At 41.0% G+C, this 16,918-nt stretch overlaps 1 protein-coding gene across 14 annotated transcripts in view; it reads left to right on the forward strand.

Annotated features, from left to right (window-relative positions):
* Window positions 1-16,456, forward strand: part of SPEF2 (sperm flagellar 2) — a 196,749-nt gene extending 180,293 nt beyond the window's left edge. For 10 of the 14 annotated variants that reach the window (XM_011514135.4, XM_005248376.5, XM_011514138.4 and 7 more), the window contains 4 exons: window positions 1,813-1,992; window positions 8,552-8,797; window positions 8,976-9,098; window positions 9,484-9,887. In XM_011514135.4, coding sequence (XP_011512437.1) covers window positions 1,813-1,992; window positions 8,552-8,797; window positions 8,976-9,098; window positions 9,484-9,576 — 642 coding nt within the window. In that variant the 3' untranslated portion in view covers window positions 9,577-9,887. Of the gene's footprint in view, window positions 1-1,812; window positions 1,993-8,551; window positions 8,798-8,975; window positions 9,099-9,483; window positions 9,888-16,308 lie in introns of those variants that run through there. The other 4 variants (XM_011514136.4, NM_024867.4, XM_047417767.1 and 1 more) reach the window with 1 other exon arrangement.
* The last annotated feature ends 462 nt before the right edge of the window (window positions 16,457-16,918 follow it).

The raw sequence follows: 16,918 nt of genomic DNA on the forward strand, positions 1-16,918 counted from the left end.
TGATTATGCTTTGTCTTCACCCAGCTTGCAGATCAAATCACAGCATCCCCCGCTCAAAACTTCCGTGGCTCTGTGTTTTACTCAGAGGAAAGGCCCAAATCCTTACGTGTCCAACCAGGCCTTGTGCATTCTGATCCTGTTGCCTTTCATTTCACCTCCTGCCATGCTCCCTTTGCCAATTCTGCTCAGCCACACTGACCTGCTCATTGTTGATCAAGCATGCAAGGCCTGCCCCGACCTTGGGAGTTCAGCCTCAGCAGCCCCTTTGTCTGTCATGCTCTTCCCCTGGATGTCTTCCCCAGCTAACTCCCTGCCCTCCTCCACGTCATTGGTCAAACTTAATCTCAATCTTGCTGTCTAGCCCCCTCTCCACTCTTCACTCTCAATTTCCCTTTCCTTGGCCTGCTCTTTTTTCTGTGTTTTCATAATCACTACATAGTTTACCTATTTTATTTATTCTTTTATCTTCTTCTTTTTTTTCAGGCTGGAGTGCAGTGGCACGATCTCAGCTCACTGCAACCTCCACCTCCCGGGTTCAAGCAATTCTCCTGCCTCAGCCTCTCGAGCAGCTGGGATTACAGGCGCCCGCCACCAGACCCGGCTAATTTTTGTACTTTTATTAGAGATGGGGTTTTGCTATGTTGGCCAGAGTGGTCTCCAACTCTGTTGGAGTTGGAGTGATCTGCCCATCTTGGCCACCCAAAGTGCTGGGATTACAGACATGAGCCACCACGCCTGGCCTCTCTCATTTCTTTGAGACATTATTTAAATTTTTGTTGGATTTTCCAAATATCGGAAATTATTTTCCCACCTGTTATCTTCATTTATGCCTAGTTAAACCTGTTCATAGTTGTAAGGGTTTTTGGTAACAAATAACATAGAGGAAATACCCTCTGACTCTAGGAACTTGCTTCTCAAAGTATGAGCCAGAACCAGCAACATTAAAAGTACCTGGAACCTTGCTAGACATGCAGATCCTTAGAAGGTCCAGCACCATATACTTAACCAGAATTCACATTTTAAAAAGGTTCTCCAGGTCATAAATATACATTTGAGAAAAGCTAGAAGGTAGCAGTCTCCCCAGACAGGGCTGCTTATGTGCCTGGGTGTGGCCTATGTGTTCCAGGGCTTGGGCCTCTGCTTTGGAGGGCCCCAGAGGATATTTGACTCCCAGGCACTAACTCCTCATGCTGCCAAATGCACAAGACCCTGTGTCAATGTCAGCTCAGGCATTCAGAGTGAGAAAATTGCTGATTTGATATTTGGTGTTTAGTATGCTCTCTGCCTGGATGTGAAGTCAACTAGGGTCAGTAGCTTGAGTATGAAGTCCAGAGCAGGTGAACCAGTTTAAAGACTTTTTAATGGCTAGAATCCCAGTGGCTTTAGGCATCATTTTCTTTCCCTCCTTTCACTCCCCACAGAGACCGATGGAACAGAAGCCTCATATTTAGGACCAGGGCCTAGTTTGTCCGGAGAATGCTGAGGACAGATAGATGGGTCCTTGTGCTTGTGGCTCTCTTTTCCTATTTAATGTGCAGTCCCCCACTACCCTTAATTAGTACAGTATTTCCTAAATATGTTAGTAGCATTAATTAGCACAATATTTCTTTTACAATATTTCAGGGCCCCACTTTTACTGCTTTTTTTCTTAATATTATTCAGTTCATACCATTCATTATATGTTAGCTTTACTAATTCAATCCTCAGAAGGCAACCTTATTCCAAAGCTCCTGGGGAGATTCTTCATTGCATGACTAACTACTGACTATGAGAGTGCACCCATTTTATCTTTGGAATTCTTTTTGTGTGCAGTTTTTCTTTAGGCTATTTGCTGACTATGAGAAGGATCCACCCCAGCTTGACTACACACAGATGCTGCTTTACTTTGCTTGCCACCCAGACACCGTGGAAGGAGTCTACAGGGCCCTCAGTGTGGCTGTTGGAACTCATGTCTTCCAACAAGTCAAAGCTTCCATTCCAAGTGCAGAAAAGGTAATTGCATTCCAGAAATAGACTAACTATAGAGTCTAGAGGGGATGCCTGAAGATCCTAAACTGACAACAAGGACTCTATTATTTTCATCTCCGTATTTTCCTAGGTGTGTAATATGATGCTTTACACATACTAGGTCTTCAACAAAGCCTTACTCAATTGGATTAAGACCTGGGGACCCAATTGCCATCAAAGATTTTTGTGGTAAAATCAAGATTTATTCAAAGTGTCTTGGTGGAATCAAACTTTACTCTATAAAGGATGGCCTTTATTTGGCATGAGTGCTGATCCTGATAAATGAAACAGAAATGGGTATCAACCCAATCCATTTGGGATTCTGTGTAGAAACTGTAGATGAAACAAGTTCAGGTCTACATGCACACCACATATATGGGGCTTGGTAGTGTTTCAGACCAAAGCCCGGCCACTGGAAACCTGCATTTCATATCACCTGTGTCCAAGGACAAAGAAGCTTAATATCTGATTAAAATGCCACCTCACCTTCCCCTTGAGATCTCTCAGGCATTGGCATTCCCTGGCTTTTGGGATGGGATAGTCTCCAACAGGGTGCTAGGTAATGTGCTTCCTAGGTGCCCATTTGTTCTTGGCATGGCTTTTGGTTCTGTTGTTTGGGGGCTGGAGCAGTGGATCCATCTGATGGGATGCTTGGTTCTGTTTTTCCTTTGTAGAAACAGAGGGGAAAAGATTGCTGCCCAGTCGAGACTCCTCAGATGTTCCAGACACACTTCCATCCTTTTCACACATACTTGTTAAAGTAGAATAGTCTGAAAGGAATGAATGGGAGGTTCCTGTAACTGCATTCATGGGAGGGAAGAGATAAACTCTTAAATGCCACCCTAAAGTTTGGCCCTGAGCATGTGGACAGAAAGATCTCCTTCCCATTCCACTAGAGCCAGAGTGAGGCCAGATACATATCTAATGAGCTAACAACTCTTCAAACCAGTGTGCTGTAAAAAGTGGTTCAACACACAGTGGCAGAAAGTTCAGCCTGGAGTGTGTATTTCCATTCAAGAATTCTGCCTTCTTTGACAGTAGAAGCCCAGTTTAAGAGTTTCCCAAATAAGGGGCTGGGTGTGGTGGCTCCCACCTGTAATCCCAGCACTTTTGGAGGCCAAGGCGGGTGGCTCACCTGAGGTCAGGAGTTCTAGACCAGCCTGACCAATATGGTGAAACCCCATCTCTACTGAAAATACAATTAGTTGGATGTGGTGGTGTGTGCCTGTAGTCCCAGCTACTCAGGAGACTGAGACTGGAGAATTACTTGAACCTGGGAGGCAGAGGTTGCAGTGAGCCAAGATCGCACCACTGCTCTCCAGCCTCAGTGATAAAGCAAGACTCCATCTCAAAAAAAAAAAAAATTCCCAAATAAGTGAGGAGTTAGGTATGATGTGCATTCACGGGCACTGCATTTGCCACTTTCCCAGGGATGTTTCTGTATCTCTCTGTAGATGGGAGTTCCCTAAACTAACTCTGGATCTATGATCTAAGCCCAGATCACAGCGTGCTGTGAGGTCTCATTAATGTCTGTCTTCCCTCACCTCAAATGATGTCAGACCCGCTGCTATATGTTCCCATGGTGCACCCTGCTTCCCCTACAAGATACTCCTCACCTGGCAATGACTTCCTTGAGATCTGCTTCTCTCTAGACTCTAAGCACCCTGTGGACCAGGAGTTTGGTGGGGAGGAGGCATCTGTTTTGTTCTGCATCCCTGAAGTTGAGGCAAGGCCTGGTACAGAGCTCAGTAAACATTGCATTCATTAATAGATCAATTAATTAGTTCATTCACTTTGTAAATTATGCTTTTTGCATGGTCCCGTGAGGAACACAAAAGAAGCCAAACTTGCTCTCCTGAAGGGACTCTAATTGGCCTCATTCATATAGAAAAGAATGAATGATGCCCCAAACAGGGGGGAGCATGGAATAAAAGGCAGATTAACGTGAGGCCTTGCCAGCCAGAAGAGGTGTGGATGCCCTCTCCTTTCCTGCCTCTCTGTCTTTACTCTTGTTACTCTCTCCACCTGGCATACTCTTCATCTCATCTCAAAGGATCCGAGGCCTCCCCATTATCCAAGGCCTACAACAATGCCACATCTTTCACGAAGCATCCCCTGACAACACTGAGCACTCTCTCAGCAAGGCCCAGGTTATAACCAGAACTTCCCTGGCAGGGCGGAGCACATTCACACACACACATTCACTGCTTCCACAAACATTTATTGAGCACCTACGTGTGCTGGGGACCACTCTCGATTCGGGGGTATGGCAGTGAACAAAAATTATTCCAGGCAGGAGGAAGACAGGCAATAAACAAATAAGCAAAACAGAGACTACATCGAATGGTGATAAATTCTATGGAAAAAAAAAAGAATGCAGGGGGAAAATACAGGCATTGGAAGAGGGGTTGCAATGTTCATTAGGGTGGCCAGAAAAGCCCTCTCTGAGAAGAGACATACAAACAGAGGCCCAAAGAAGGTGAGGGGGAGAGCCTTGCAAGTCCCTGGGGCATGAGCACTTGAAGTGAGGACAACAGTGAGTGCAAAAGCAGCCATAACTGGTGTGCTCTGAGAACTAGGGCTAGCCAGCAGAGCTGGAGAGGACCAGGCTGAAGGAGAGTAACAGGGAAGGGAAGTGAGAGGGAGAGGACCCTGAGGTCCACTGCAGGGACCTTAGCTTTAACTCTATGCAGGATGAGAAGTCATTGGAAGGGTGCAGTCACCTGGCTTCACTAAGTCAGGATCTCTCTGTGTTGAGGAGAGACTACAGACGGCAAAGGAGGGAAGTAAGGAGACCTAGGCCTTCAGGCAGGGGACCACTTATCTATTTCTACTGCTAAATGGTTCCTGCCTTGAGTTTGGGACACCTTGTTACCCATCTTCATGTCCTCTGAAGTAGCTGCCACATAGCCAGTGCTTGATTAGTATTTGTGAACATGGCCAGGAAAGAAGTGAAGAAGGAAGAGAGGGACAGTGAAATGAATGGAGTTTAGTCTCCATGGTAGAGAGGAGGAAAGCAGACATTGCAGGCAGGCAGAGGCAACAGCGGAGTCCAGGAGGCTGAGATGAGCAGGAAAGGCCAGGAAAAAGGAAGCCTGTGCTAGAGCTGTTGCCATAGCAACAGACAGCTGTCTCCTGAGGCTGGCAGCCAGGCTAGCTAGCACAGGAAGACGCTTAATGCCTTCCATCCCTGAGTGCTGCATTCACTGTGTGCTAGTGTTCCTACCCGGGAAGCAGCTCTCCTTGAGTGCTGCTCTCAAGAGCTCCTTTAAAATCCAAGGACACTGTGGAGGAACTGAACCAAGAACACTGCGCTGCAGAGATTAAGCTAGTGGGTGGGAGGTGGAGCCTGGGATGGAACACAGGGCTCTCTCTCACACACAGGCCTGTTCCTGACTTGGAGTGAACCCTAGGAGCACTTGGAACACAGAAGCCACTCACCTTCTTCATTCTCACTCACTCCTCATCCCACTGTCTCCAACTGTGGCACTCCATTTCTGTGCCATTTCCACTGTGTTCCAGTTTCCTGGGCAACCCTGTCCCAGGAAGCCATAATGCTCAGAAATAACACCTCTAGCAGATTCATATTCACTCCCAAGCCATTCAATCAGATCTCTGCTTTTGCTTTCCCCACAAACAACTGGAAATCTCCCCAGCATTTCATTCTTCTTTACTCTATTTCTGCTATTCATGCTGATTTTATTCAATGCGGCTCAGGCCTTCTGCTTAAAGCCACAGCTTCTTGGGTAATTTAAAAGAAACTTAAAAGCGAGGCATTCATCAGTAATGCCCTAGTCTAGGTGGATCTTTAAATAAATGACATTTGGGAAAATGGTTCGTTCTGCCACCTGTGTGGCGTGGGGTTAGTAAATTGTGAGCTTGAATCTCTCACATTGCAAAAGTCTTGTAAAAACATCTTGGCAAGGAGCGTTTGAGGCCCTGGGGTAGAAACACATACATTTCTATGCTCTTCTGCTCTTTGAGGCTTTGCCCACATTAATCCAAGACCAGACCTCTGTGCTGCCATCTGAGATGTGGGACTGAGCTGATTGAATGATAGAAATGCATGGTCAGGAAGACACACAGGTAGCACTCTGGGGACACATTTGTTGGGAGTCCTGAGAGTTAGCCAAGTGTGACATAGTGCTTGACAGCACCACAGTCTGTTCCCCTGCTTAGATAATAATGTGACTTTTGTAGAGCTTTGATACCACTGATAATTGCTCATTCAAAAGTACTGGCTTTTCTCCAAATTGGCCTCACTGGTTTTGTTCCTGTACCCACATTCAACATCACCAGCTTTCAGAGACTCTGTTGGAGAGAACCACCTCCTCTTGCACACGTTTCCCTCTCTGCAGGACCATGCCAACTTCTTCAGTTTGATCTCAGTCTCTCTCCCTTCCTTCCCCTCCCACTGAGCCACTAAGCCTATTCTATACCAACCCCCTAGAGATCAAAAATAGCAAACATGTAAAAAGAGTCCTCTGACACTAATAAGTTAAGGATTATTCACTCTGACATTTCAAATGTTTACATTGCTACCTCTTAAATTTTAAAAAAAAATCATTTATTCCATTATGCTTACATCAGGCCTTTGGAAAGTAAGTTTCTCCCCCTAATTATGGAAATAGTTACAGAGAGCCCAGGTTCCTTCTTTGCTTAATTTTGGTATCATCTGCTCATCTAAGCAGCTAATTGTTTGCTTGCCTACAGGTTCTATGTTTATCTTGGGTACACAGAACCTATGCTACACTCTGAATAGAAATTTATTCATCCTGGACTCACTCAGAAAGATGTTTTACATCACAACTATGTTCATTTCACTACACTAACTGTTTCATTGCCCTGGAAGATTATTGATGGGTAGCCAATGCAATAATCCCCAAGATTCCTGGGTGGAAATACTAAAGCTCATTTTACATTTCTGCCATGTAGCATTTCCAGATGTTTAAAGTGGACAAAAGCCTGCAGGAAAATTATATAAATATGTATATTTGATTCCAAAATCTTCACCTGTTAGAGCATTCCCTCTGTCTTTTTTTCTCTCTTTCTTTTTTCAAGCTTAAATTCCCAACTTAACAATGGATATAGAGACCCAACTAAGGCAAAGTGACCATACAGAGCTATAGCAAATGTAACCTGCCTTCATTACACTGCCCACTGTCCCTCCAAATTCCTTATAGGGACGTATGACTACCAGAGGCTTAATTTTATGCTGCATCATAATCCTTCCATACATGAGATTTACATGACTATTTAGAAAGAGGTTGCACAATCTATAGACTTGATACTTCTACTGAATTGAATATTTACAGCATTGGCACCCTCCTAAATTAGCATTTTTTTTCTTCCTTGGAATAAAGGAGATCAGATCTCAGATGTTCTGTGACATCTGGCCAGCCAAAAATGCCAAAATGCTCCTTTCTTTCTTGGCAAATTATCAAATATTGAAACATACATACATACACACATGTATGCAGACACATATGCACACAAATTTACTATAAAGAATGTAAGAAGCACAAAGCAAAGGAAATTGTCTATTCCGCTATCCAGAAGTCACCACTGTTAACTCCTTAATGCGTCTGCTTTCCATTTTCATCAATAGAATAGATATATAAGCAAACTGTCCTACTGCATGTACTACTTTGTTTTCTGCTTGCTTTTTGCACTTATTCTATCATGAGTGTTTTCTTGTGTTATTAAGAATTCTGCTAAACCATCATTTTTCATGGCAATGTAATACTACATTGCAGAAATAGAGTTTATTTTACCATTCCCCCATTTTTTGGAATCTTAGGTTTTCTATTTTTGCTGTAACACTGAATGAACAGCCATATACAAACGTATTTGGGCAAATGAATATTTCTTCAGGATCAATTCCTAGTTCTGTAACTACTGGGTCAATGATAGGATACATAAGAAGAATATATACATTCAGGCTTTTGATACATAAGAAATCAAAACAATTTACTCTTCACCATACTCATGAGTGCCTGAGTTCATGGCTTTTGGCCAAATTTCAAAGAGCAGCAGTAAAAATCCCAACCTGATTTTGTACACTGGATTTGTTTTCTATTTTGCCTTCTGAGTGTTTAGTTGGGATATCCTCCAGTGTCCAAAGAAATGTTTCTGAAGCTCTTAGAATCTGTCAAGCTAGAGCAATTGACTTGCCTTAGCCTCTCAATTGCATTCAATTTCAAAAGCAAATCTTGTTTAAAATCTATATACATGTGTATATCTATATCTATATACAGGGGTACAAGTACCTGGCAGGGTAGTCAGCCCAAGAATGTATGAAGTTGTGTAGGACACACCCCACACTATACAAGCTTCTATACACTACAAGTAAAACTGGTCTTGAATTTTGACATTGTAATTTTCAAGGCAGCTAGTGTATTCTCCTCTAGACTGGTTAGCTAGTTTGTGGTAGGCTCTGTCATTCATGAAAAGTGTGTGATTATGAAATTGGTATATTCTAAAAGTCTCCATTGGTGGAAAAAACTTCAGTTTAACTTCATGTTCTCTTCATTTAACTTTGCAGACCTCCTCAACTGATGCAGGTCCAGCTGAGGAATTTCCTGAACCTGAGGAAAATGCTGCAAGAGAAGAAAGGAAATTAAAAGACGACACGGAGAAAAGGGAACAGAAGGATGAAGAAATCCCTGAAAATGCAAACAATGAAAAGATGTCCATGGAAACACTACTCAAAGTGTTCAAAGGGGGAAGTGAAGCACAGGACTCCAATAGATTTGCCAGCCACCTAAAGATAGAGAACATTTATGCAGAGGTTGGTTAAATTATTTTGAAAAAAGTTGGCCTCAATTCTGAGCATATTTTTATGGAATTGCTCTCAAAATATATCATAGTATGAAATTATACAGAATCTCTTTAGTAAATACAACCATTTTTTTTAACATCTACTGGATTGTGAGGTTGATTAACTTCATTTTTTTTCTTCCTTAAAGGGCTTCATAAAAACATTTCAAGACCTAGGTGCCAAGAACCTGGAGCCAATTGAAGTCGCTGTTCTCTTGAAGCATCCTTTTATTCAAGACCTGATTTCAAATTATTCAGACTATAAGTTTCCTGTGAGTATTACCCCAAAGTGCTCTAATTTGGTTGGGCTCCAGTTCAGGACATGCTAGGATGTTTCTAAATGTGAGCTGGCATGGAAGAGAAAGAAGCTGTACTCTGCCAGGCCAGGCCAGAATCTGGAGAAGCTAAGCTGGTAATCACATCAGGCCAGAAAGGTCAGCCTGAAATACCCAAAGGGCAGCAAGCTCAGGCACATTTGATAGGTGGTAGTTAAAGCTGGGTGGGTGACAGTGTTAGGATTGTCATTGTAGCCATGTAATGACCCTAGCCTGTGATTGAAGGGTTTGGAGAATAAGATTCCTCCTGCCAAAGAGAACTAACCAAGACCATGATCTCCAGCCAAGTGCTGACATATTCATTGTACTCTAATCACGCAAGGTACACATCATCTATGTAGTGGAAATGATAGTGTGTGCAAAAGGTTGGGCACCACTTCCATCAGGAAAACAGTGTGCAAGATGGAGAAACTAAGGACAAACCCCAGAGAAACTGGACAAACCCAGCAGAAGAAAGGAAGAACTGCAACTCAGAAATCACATAACCACCAAGCAGGTCTGGACCACACATGCTAAATGTGCATCCACTATGGCGAGTCCCAGGCCTTTAACAGCAGGGACTAAGGAGGGCAGAGGCTGACACCAACCCCCTTTCATACTGTAGCACTACATCCCTCTCAGATACCAGTTTAACACGAAGTCTCCCTGTTTGACTCCTGTGAGTTGTGTATTGAACTACAAAGTGTTTGCTGAGTTGAAAATAAAAGCGCTTTCACTTTGATAGAATGTAGATTGTGTATCTTGACTTCTCAATGATAGCAAGTTACATTTTGCAGTTTTCTTCCTATACCCACAAATGAAACTATTCAGACTTAAATATCTTCCTGTGTGCCTAAACGTTTTTGTTCTAAGTTGCTGATCCTTTTAAATATTAAATTATTAATTAATATTAAAATTAATTTTATTGCCTGTATTAGTATAACTGAAGTTGATTTCTTTTTTTTTAATTATACTTTAAGTTCTAGGGCACATGTGCACAACGTGCAGGTTTGTTACATATGTATACATGTGCCATGTTGGTGTGCTGTACCCATTAACTCGTCATTTACATTAGGTATATCTCCTAATGCTATCCCTCTCCCCTTCCCCCACCCCATGACAGGCCCCAGTGTATGATGTTCACCTTCTTGTGTCCAAGGGTTCTCATTGTTCAATTCCCACCTATGAGTGAGAACATGCGGTATTTGGTTTTCTGTCCTTGCGATAGTTTGCTGAGAATGATGGTTTCCAGCTTCATCCATGTCCCTATGAAGGACATGAAGTCATCCTTTTATATGGCTGCATAGTATTCCGTGGTGTATATGTGCCACATTTTCTTAATCCAGTGTATATATCATAGATGGACATTTGGGTTGGTTCCAAGTCTTTGCTATTGGGTTTTACATATATATACACACACATATATATTTATATGTATATATATACACACATATATATTTATATGTATATATATACACACATATATATGTATATATGTATATATGTAAAACCCAATATATATACATATATGTATGTAACATATACATATATTTTTTAAATATATATGTAAAAAAATTGGGTTTTACATATATATATATATATATAAAACAAGCTAGCAGCTGTTTAGACACGAAGCCTATGCAGTAGTGAAATATGATTACAGCATGTAAGAACACAGGCTCTGGAATCAGGTCATGGGACTGAATCTCAGGTCTACCCCTCAGTAACTCCCTGACCTTAACTTTCTCCTAATCCTGGCTTTCTCGTCTGTTAAATGGGGATGAAACATTCATATTCAAAGGGTGGTGGTGAGGATTAAGTGAGGTCATGCATGTAAAGCACTTGGCATGGTATCTGACACAGGGGAAGTGCTACAGAAATGATGGCTGTTAGGGGTACTATTCAATACTGATCACCTACTACTGAGACCCGTAGTATAAGCTTCCATAGGAGAGAGAAAATTGAGTACATAATTTGGTCACTGCTCTAAAAAAATTTAACTCCTTTTTGCAAGATAATTTTTACATGCAGGAATTGCAAGAAAGTGATATAAGTTAAACCAACCAAGTGCAAAATTATAGGAATTCAATACTTGACATTTTTGTGCTGGAAGTGTGGAGGGAGTCTGCCCAAGAAGGAATAAGCTAGGTCTTGAACGATAGCCAGGGTTTGGGAAAGTGGAGAGAGGGAAAGGGACGTCTACATGGATTTTGCTGTTGGGGTAGGGAGGCAGCAGAGTCCTGGGTGAAGGCAAGGTCTGGGGAAGGCATGGAAGAAGGACTGCAGGAGCCCCACCCCATGAATAGCCTGGGAAAGGTATAAAATGATCCCATTAAATTGGTCAGATCAGGCCAGATTGCGAAGAACCCAGATGTCACAAAGGGAAATGTGGATTCCATTTGAAAAGCAAGAGAGAATGAACAGGCTGCTGAGCAGAGCATGATATGATGTTAATTTCTTCATCCCTAAGCATTCCTTGGGGATATTGTGCCATAATGTCATCCTGCACAACGTGGATTCCATAGGCCCATCTCTCTAGACTGCATTTTAGCTTACATTCCCTGCTCCACATATCAGGGAACAGCTCTCTTACATTGAACCAGTAAAATAATTTGCAAAATCCTTTGGAATTATGTAAAATAGGACTTATTTTATATTGCTGATTACAAGTAGGAGCATAAAAATGATGCCACAATTATTTCCTCTCATACTGGAAAGAAAACTCCCACAAAATCAGTATGACTTGAAAATATCTTCACTCTGAGCAGAGTGATTAAATATGATGAACTTGCAAAGAAGATTCTATTTGACAATTTGCTTGAGAAAAGAAAATAGCCAACAGATGGCTACCTTCAAGAGTTAGCCTTTCCGAATAGGTGTTCTGACTTCCCAGGAAACCTGTCATCCATAAGACTCCCCCACTTTATTTTTTTGAGACAGAGTTTTGCTCTTGTTGCCCAGGCTGGAGTGCAGTGGCATGATCTGGGCTCACTGCAACCTCCACCTCCTGGGTTCACACGATTCTCCTGCCTCAGCCTCCTGAGTAGCTGGGATGACAGGTGCCTGCCACCACGCCCAGCTAATTTTTTGTATTTTTAGTAGAGATGGGGCTTCACTATGTTGGCCAGGCTGGTCTCGAACTCCTGACCTCAGGCGATCCACCCGCCTCAGCCTCCCAAAGTGCTGGAGGACTCCTTTTAAGTTATACATTCCCCTCATTTCTGAAGGAGTGTCAGCAACTAGCAATGTTAACTGAAGTACTATTGGCATTTGGAGCAGCACAGTTCCTCTTTGAGGATAACTGTCCCAAGTGTGGCAGAATACCTAACATTTCAGGCCCTACCCCCTGTATTCCAGGAACATCCTGACATACTGATCTCCAAAACCACCTCTGCCTGCACATTTGCCAAGCTTTCCTTGATGCACAGTACCCCTCTGGCTGAAAGCCACCCAGCAGCAGGGTGTCTGTCTTCTGTTAACCAGTCTCACAATACCTGTAGCACCTGGCATTCTCATAGCAGAGAGTTAGTTAGTGAGTTAGTTCATTGCCAGAATGCTTCTCTAAGATATACCTGAGTCATCTACTTTAACTCTCCCTCCTCAAGTCCTCCACACCTCTTCCTGGTCACTCCACCAAGGAATCTAATTAGAGGCCAGTAAACTACCACCCAGGGGACTCATTTGTATGATGGTCCATCAAGAAGAGTTGTGCCTGTGTCCTGAAAAGTCTACATTCTAATATTTACAGTGAAAAAGGGTCCCTTTCCAGTAAGGTGTTCTATTCTCATTTTTGCTAAAAAAAAAAATAATAAATAATAAAATAAAAACAAAAGAAATGAAGGAATGGAGAGAAAAGAATCTTTGAAGACTCAAACCACTGCACTCGTCCTGTCATTTTTTGCTTCAGATATCCATGTACAAGTAAATAGATCACATTTTTATAATACACTTCAACCACAGTGATGTCATCTGAAGATCTTTCAAGATAAGAAGAGCAAAAGCTAGAGTGTGGTTTTTCAGGTTAAAATGTTGTTTGCTATTATAAACAGTGGGAAGTGAAGGTTGTTGCCTAACAGCTCTATGTTTACAAGGTTCTTGTTTAGAAGTGACAACATTTTAAGATACATATTTGAAAAAAATAAGTATGCATAATTGTAATAATGCATTTAAGGTGTACTGGCTTTTGGTTATGAGAGTGGGCTCTGGAGCTGCACTGACTGGGTTCATACCTATGAAGTGTGTGGCCTTCGGCAAGTGACCTCAAAGTGCCTTGGTGTCTGCATCTGTAAAATAGGGCCAATGATCATAGTCACCTCATGGTGGGGGGGGTGGGGTTTGTACAAATTAAAGGAGATAATACATATAAAGTGTTTAACTCAGTTCCTGGAAGATAGAAAGCACTCAATATATATGAGATACTACTACTACTACTATTAGGTTCGTGCAAAAGTAGTTGCAGTTTTTGCCATTACTTTTTTTTTTTTTTTTTTTTGAGACAGAGTCTCGCTCTGTTGCTCAGGCTGGAGGGTTGGATTGCTGGATTCAGTGGTGCAATCTTGGCTCACTGCAAGCTGCACCTCCCGGGTTCACGCCATTCTCCTGCCTCAGCCTCCCGAGTAGCTGGGACTACAGGTGCCTGCCACCACGCCCGACTAATTTCTCCATATTTTTTTTATTAGAGATGGGTTTTCAATGTGTTAGCCAGGATGGTCTCGATCCCCTGATCTCGTGATCCGCCCACCTTGGCCTCCCAAAGTGCTGGGATTACAGGCATGAGCCACCGCACCTGGCCTCCCATTACTTTTGATGGCAAAGAACCACAATTACTTTTGCACCAACCTACTTCTACTACTGCTGGTCTGTAGTAGTTACCGTGCACAAGAAATTCTGAATCACGTGCAATTATATGTGGATGGACTAGTGAGCTGGCATCTAATCTCTTGAACACATATGTCTTGTCTTTGGAAAAAAAGAAGGACTTTACTGGTGCAGTGCCATGATGATAAAGGGTCCAAATTGAAGTCCCAGGAAGCCTCTGGTCCATACCTATGTGGAAGTTCCAGATTTTGCGTTGGACATTATAGGCATTCAGCTAAAGTCACTTATTTAATTTCCACTTTCATAGGCCTTGTACAAAAAAGTTATTTTCAAATAATGCTCCTAAATTATTAAGAAAATGATTTGTATAAATATAAGAAGATCAGTGAGGATATTGGAACTGGGTTGTTGGTGAACAAAGTCAATTTCCTGTGATAAATATATATTTATAAATGTAAATGAATAAACAATTTTCTCTAAAAACTTAATAACTTTAGTTTCTTGTGATGAACGCAGGCTCAATTATTATACATTCTTTAAAACAAATATGTAAATCAAGCATATTACCTTATAATTGAGGTTTATATTCAATAGGAGATAGCAAGAAATCTTTTAATGTTAACATTAGAATATCACCAGAAAATATCTTATAAACAAATGAATCAGGACCCAATTACATTAGGATAACATACCTATAATTATAAGTGCGAACTGAAGGAGACTTTCATCCCTCTTGTCTTCAGGGCACCTGACTTTAAAATATTCTCTAAGCTTCTCCTTTATCTTTATAACAAAATATGATAGCTGCTTCAGTGCTTTGTGTTTTCAAAGCACCAGTGTCAAACATTTTCTGGCTTTCACAGGCTCTTCTCCATTCACTGCTACTGAAAATTGTGGTCCCTGATTTCAGCTATAAATTTAGCTAAGACTGGTTTAAATATATCTGGAGCTTATCATTTTCCCCTTGCTATGGAGTGTCAGATAATCACAAGTTAGCTTATTCCTTAATCCTCAAATTAACTTTTGATAATATTAAAATGACATTAGTTATTATAAACATACTATATAAAGAAGACATGTTATTAGGAATTGTAGTGGGCTGGGCACAGTGGTTGCCATCTGTAATCCCAGCACTTTGGGAGGCTGAGGTGGGAGGATTGCTTGAGGCCAGGTGTTTGAGAGAAACCTGGTCAACAGAGCAAGACTCCTCTCTATAAAAAATTTTAAAATTAGCTGGACATGGTGACATGTGCCTGTAGTCCCAGCTACTTAGAAAACTGAGGTGGGAGGATTTCTTGAGCCTTGGAGATTGAGGCTGCAGTGAGCTATGGTCATGCCACAGCACTGCAGCCTGGGTGACAGAGCGAAACTCTATTTCTAAAAAAAATAAATAATAAATGGAAGAATTATACTGGGTAAGACTAGAAAAGTCAATGGGGAGCAGCTTTTCTTTTCCACTTGGTTCACTTAGCATTGACCTTTGGCTTTAGGAGATTTGTGTTTTCAAGGAACAAGATCTCTAAAGAAAATGATTCACTATGATTCCTCGCAGTGACTGATAGAAGCAGTGCATATGTCAATTGGCAAGGGTCAGCACATATGGTGAACAAACTCATGTCTTCTCAACTAAAATGATCACAGTCAAATTGAAGCCTTTGAAACTCAGCTCTGAGGAAAAGGAACTTATATTGTTAAAATACTTCTCTAAAATTGTGAAATAAAAAAAAAAACCTAAAAGCTACCTAAATGCAGTTCTGTATTTTTCACATGTTGGTACTCCTTCTACATTGTAATAATAGTTTAAATATATTTTGAAAAATATCTGTGATTTAAGATGTAAGATAGCTGTATAGCAAATGTAAAACAGGTCATTCTTTCCCTGATGTTTTTACAATGAAAGAATGAGACAATTTCAGGAAAGTAATCTTTTGTTTTAAAATTCTACAAATCTATAGACATGATTAATTTAGCATTAGCATTTACTTTCATAGAGGGTGAATACTGGTTTTTTTGTTCATTCATAAGGAAACAATCTTTTAACTTGCCCATTCATTATATGCCAGGTTCTGTGTAACTGCTTTTACAAATGTTAATTAACCTAATATGACAACTCCATTATTAGGTGTGGAAACTGAGGGTCCAAGATCTTAGATAATTTTCCAAACATACAAGTAGTAAGTCTCAGGGTGGGATTAAAACTAAATGGAGAAATTTGCTCAGTGGAAAAAAAGAAATAAAAACTGTTTAATGGTTGCCATGTACTATGTGATCATTTATTAGTATTTGTATAGTATAGTATTGATCATCCTTTATTAGTATTTGTAACTTCTCTTTGAATCTTTTGTCTTAGGATATTAAAATAATTCTCCAAAGGAGTGAACATGTACAAGGAAGTGATGGAGAGAGATCACCTTCAAGACATACAGAGGAAAAGAAATGAAGACAAAAGAGTGTGATTTTTTTAATTCTGCAATAAATCTTCCAAAAATTAAATGTGACCATGGTGTTTGTCATATATGTTACCATTTTAAGTATAGAAATGAACCCTACCAGTTCATTATCGGCATTGAAAATGGAACCTTCCTTAACTTGGAGAATATTTCATAATAAAGAGAGAAAAAAATCCAAAGTAAAAATCCAAAGTAAGCAGGAATGCATTTTGAAGTGATTCTGAAAATGGAAGGCCCCAAAACAAGATGTTCAAAAATAAGTCATGAAAACTCCCTATGAAAGGTATCTACATTAGGCAGATATAGTGAAAATTTCCCCAAAACTCCACATCAGCACAGTGCTTCTAGGTACATCTTACAGTTCTTTCTCCATATGCAGTAAAATTTCCAGGTTTATTTCAATAGCCAAGAAGAAGGCTGCATTATTGAACTGCTAGTAAAGCTTTGTTCCCATCATCTATTCATAATTATTTCTTAATAGAATATATTTCCTTCATAGATAGATGTACA

The sequence above is a fragment of the Homo sapiens genome, chromosome 5, assembly GCF_000001405.40.
Source record: "Homo sapiens chromosome 5, GRCh38.p14 Primary Assembly".
Lineage (NCBI taxonomy): Eukaryota > Metazoa > Chordata > Mammalia > Primates > Hominidae > Homo > Homo sapiens.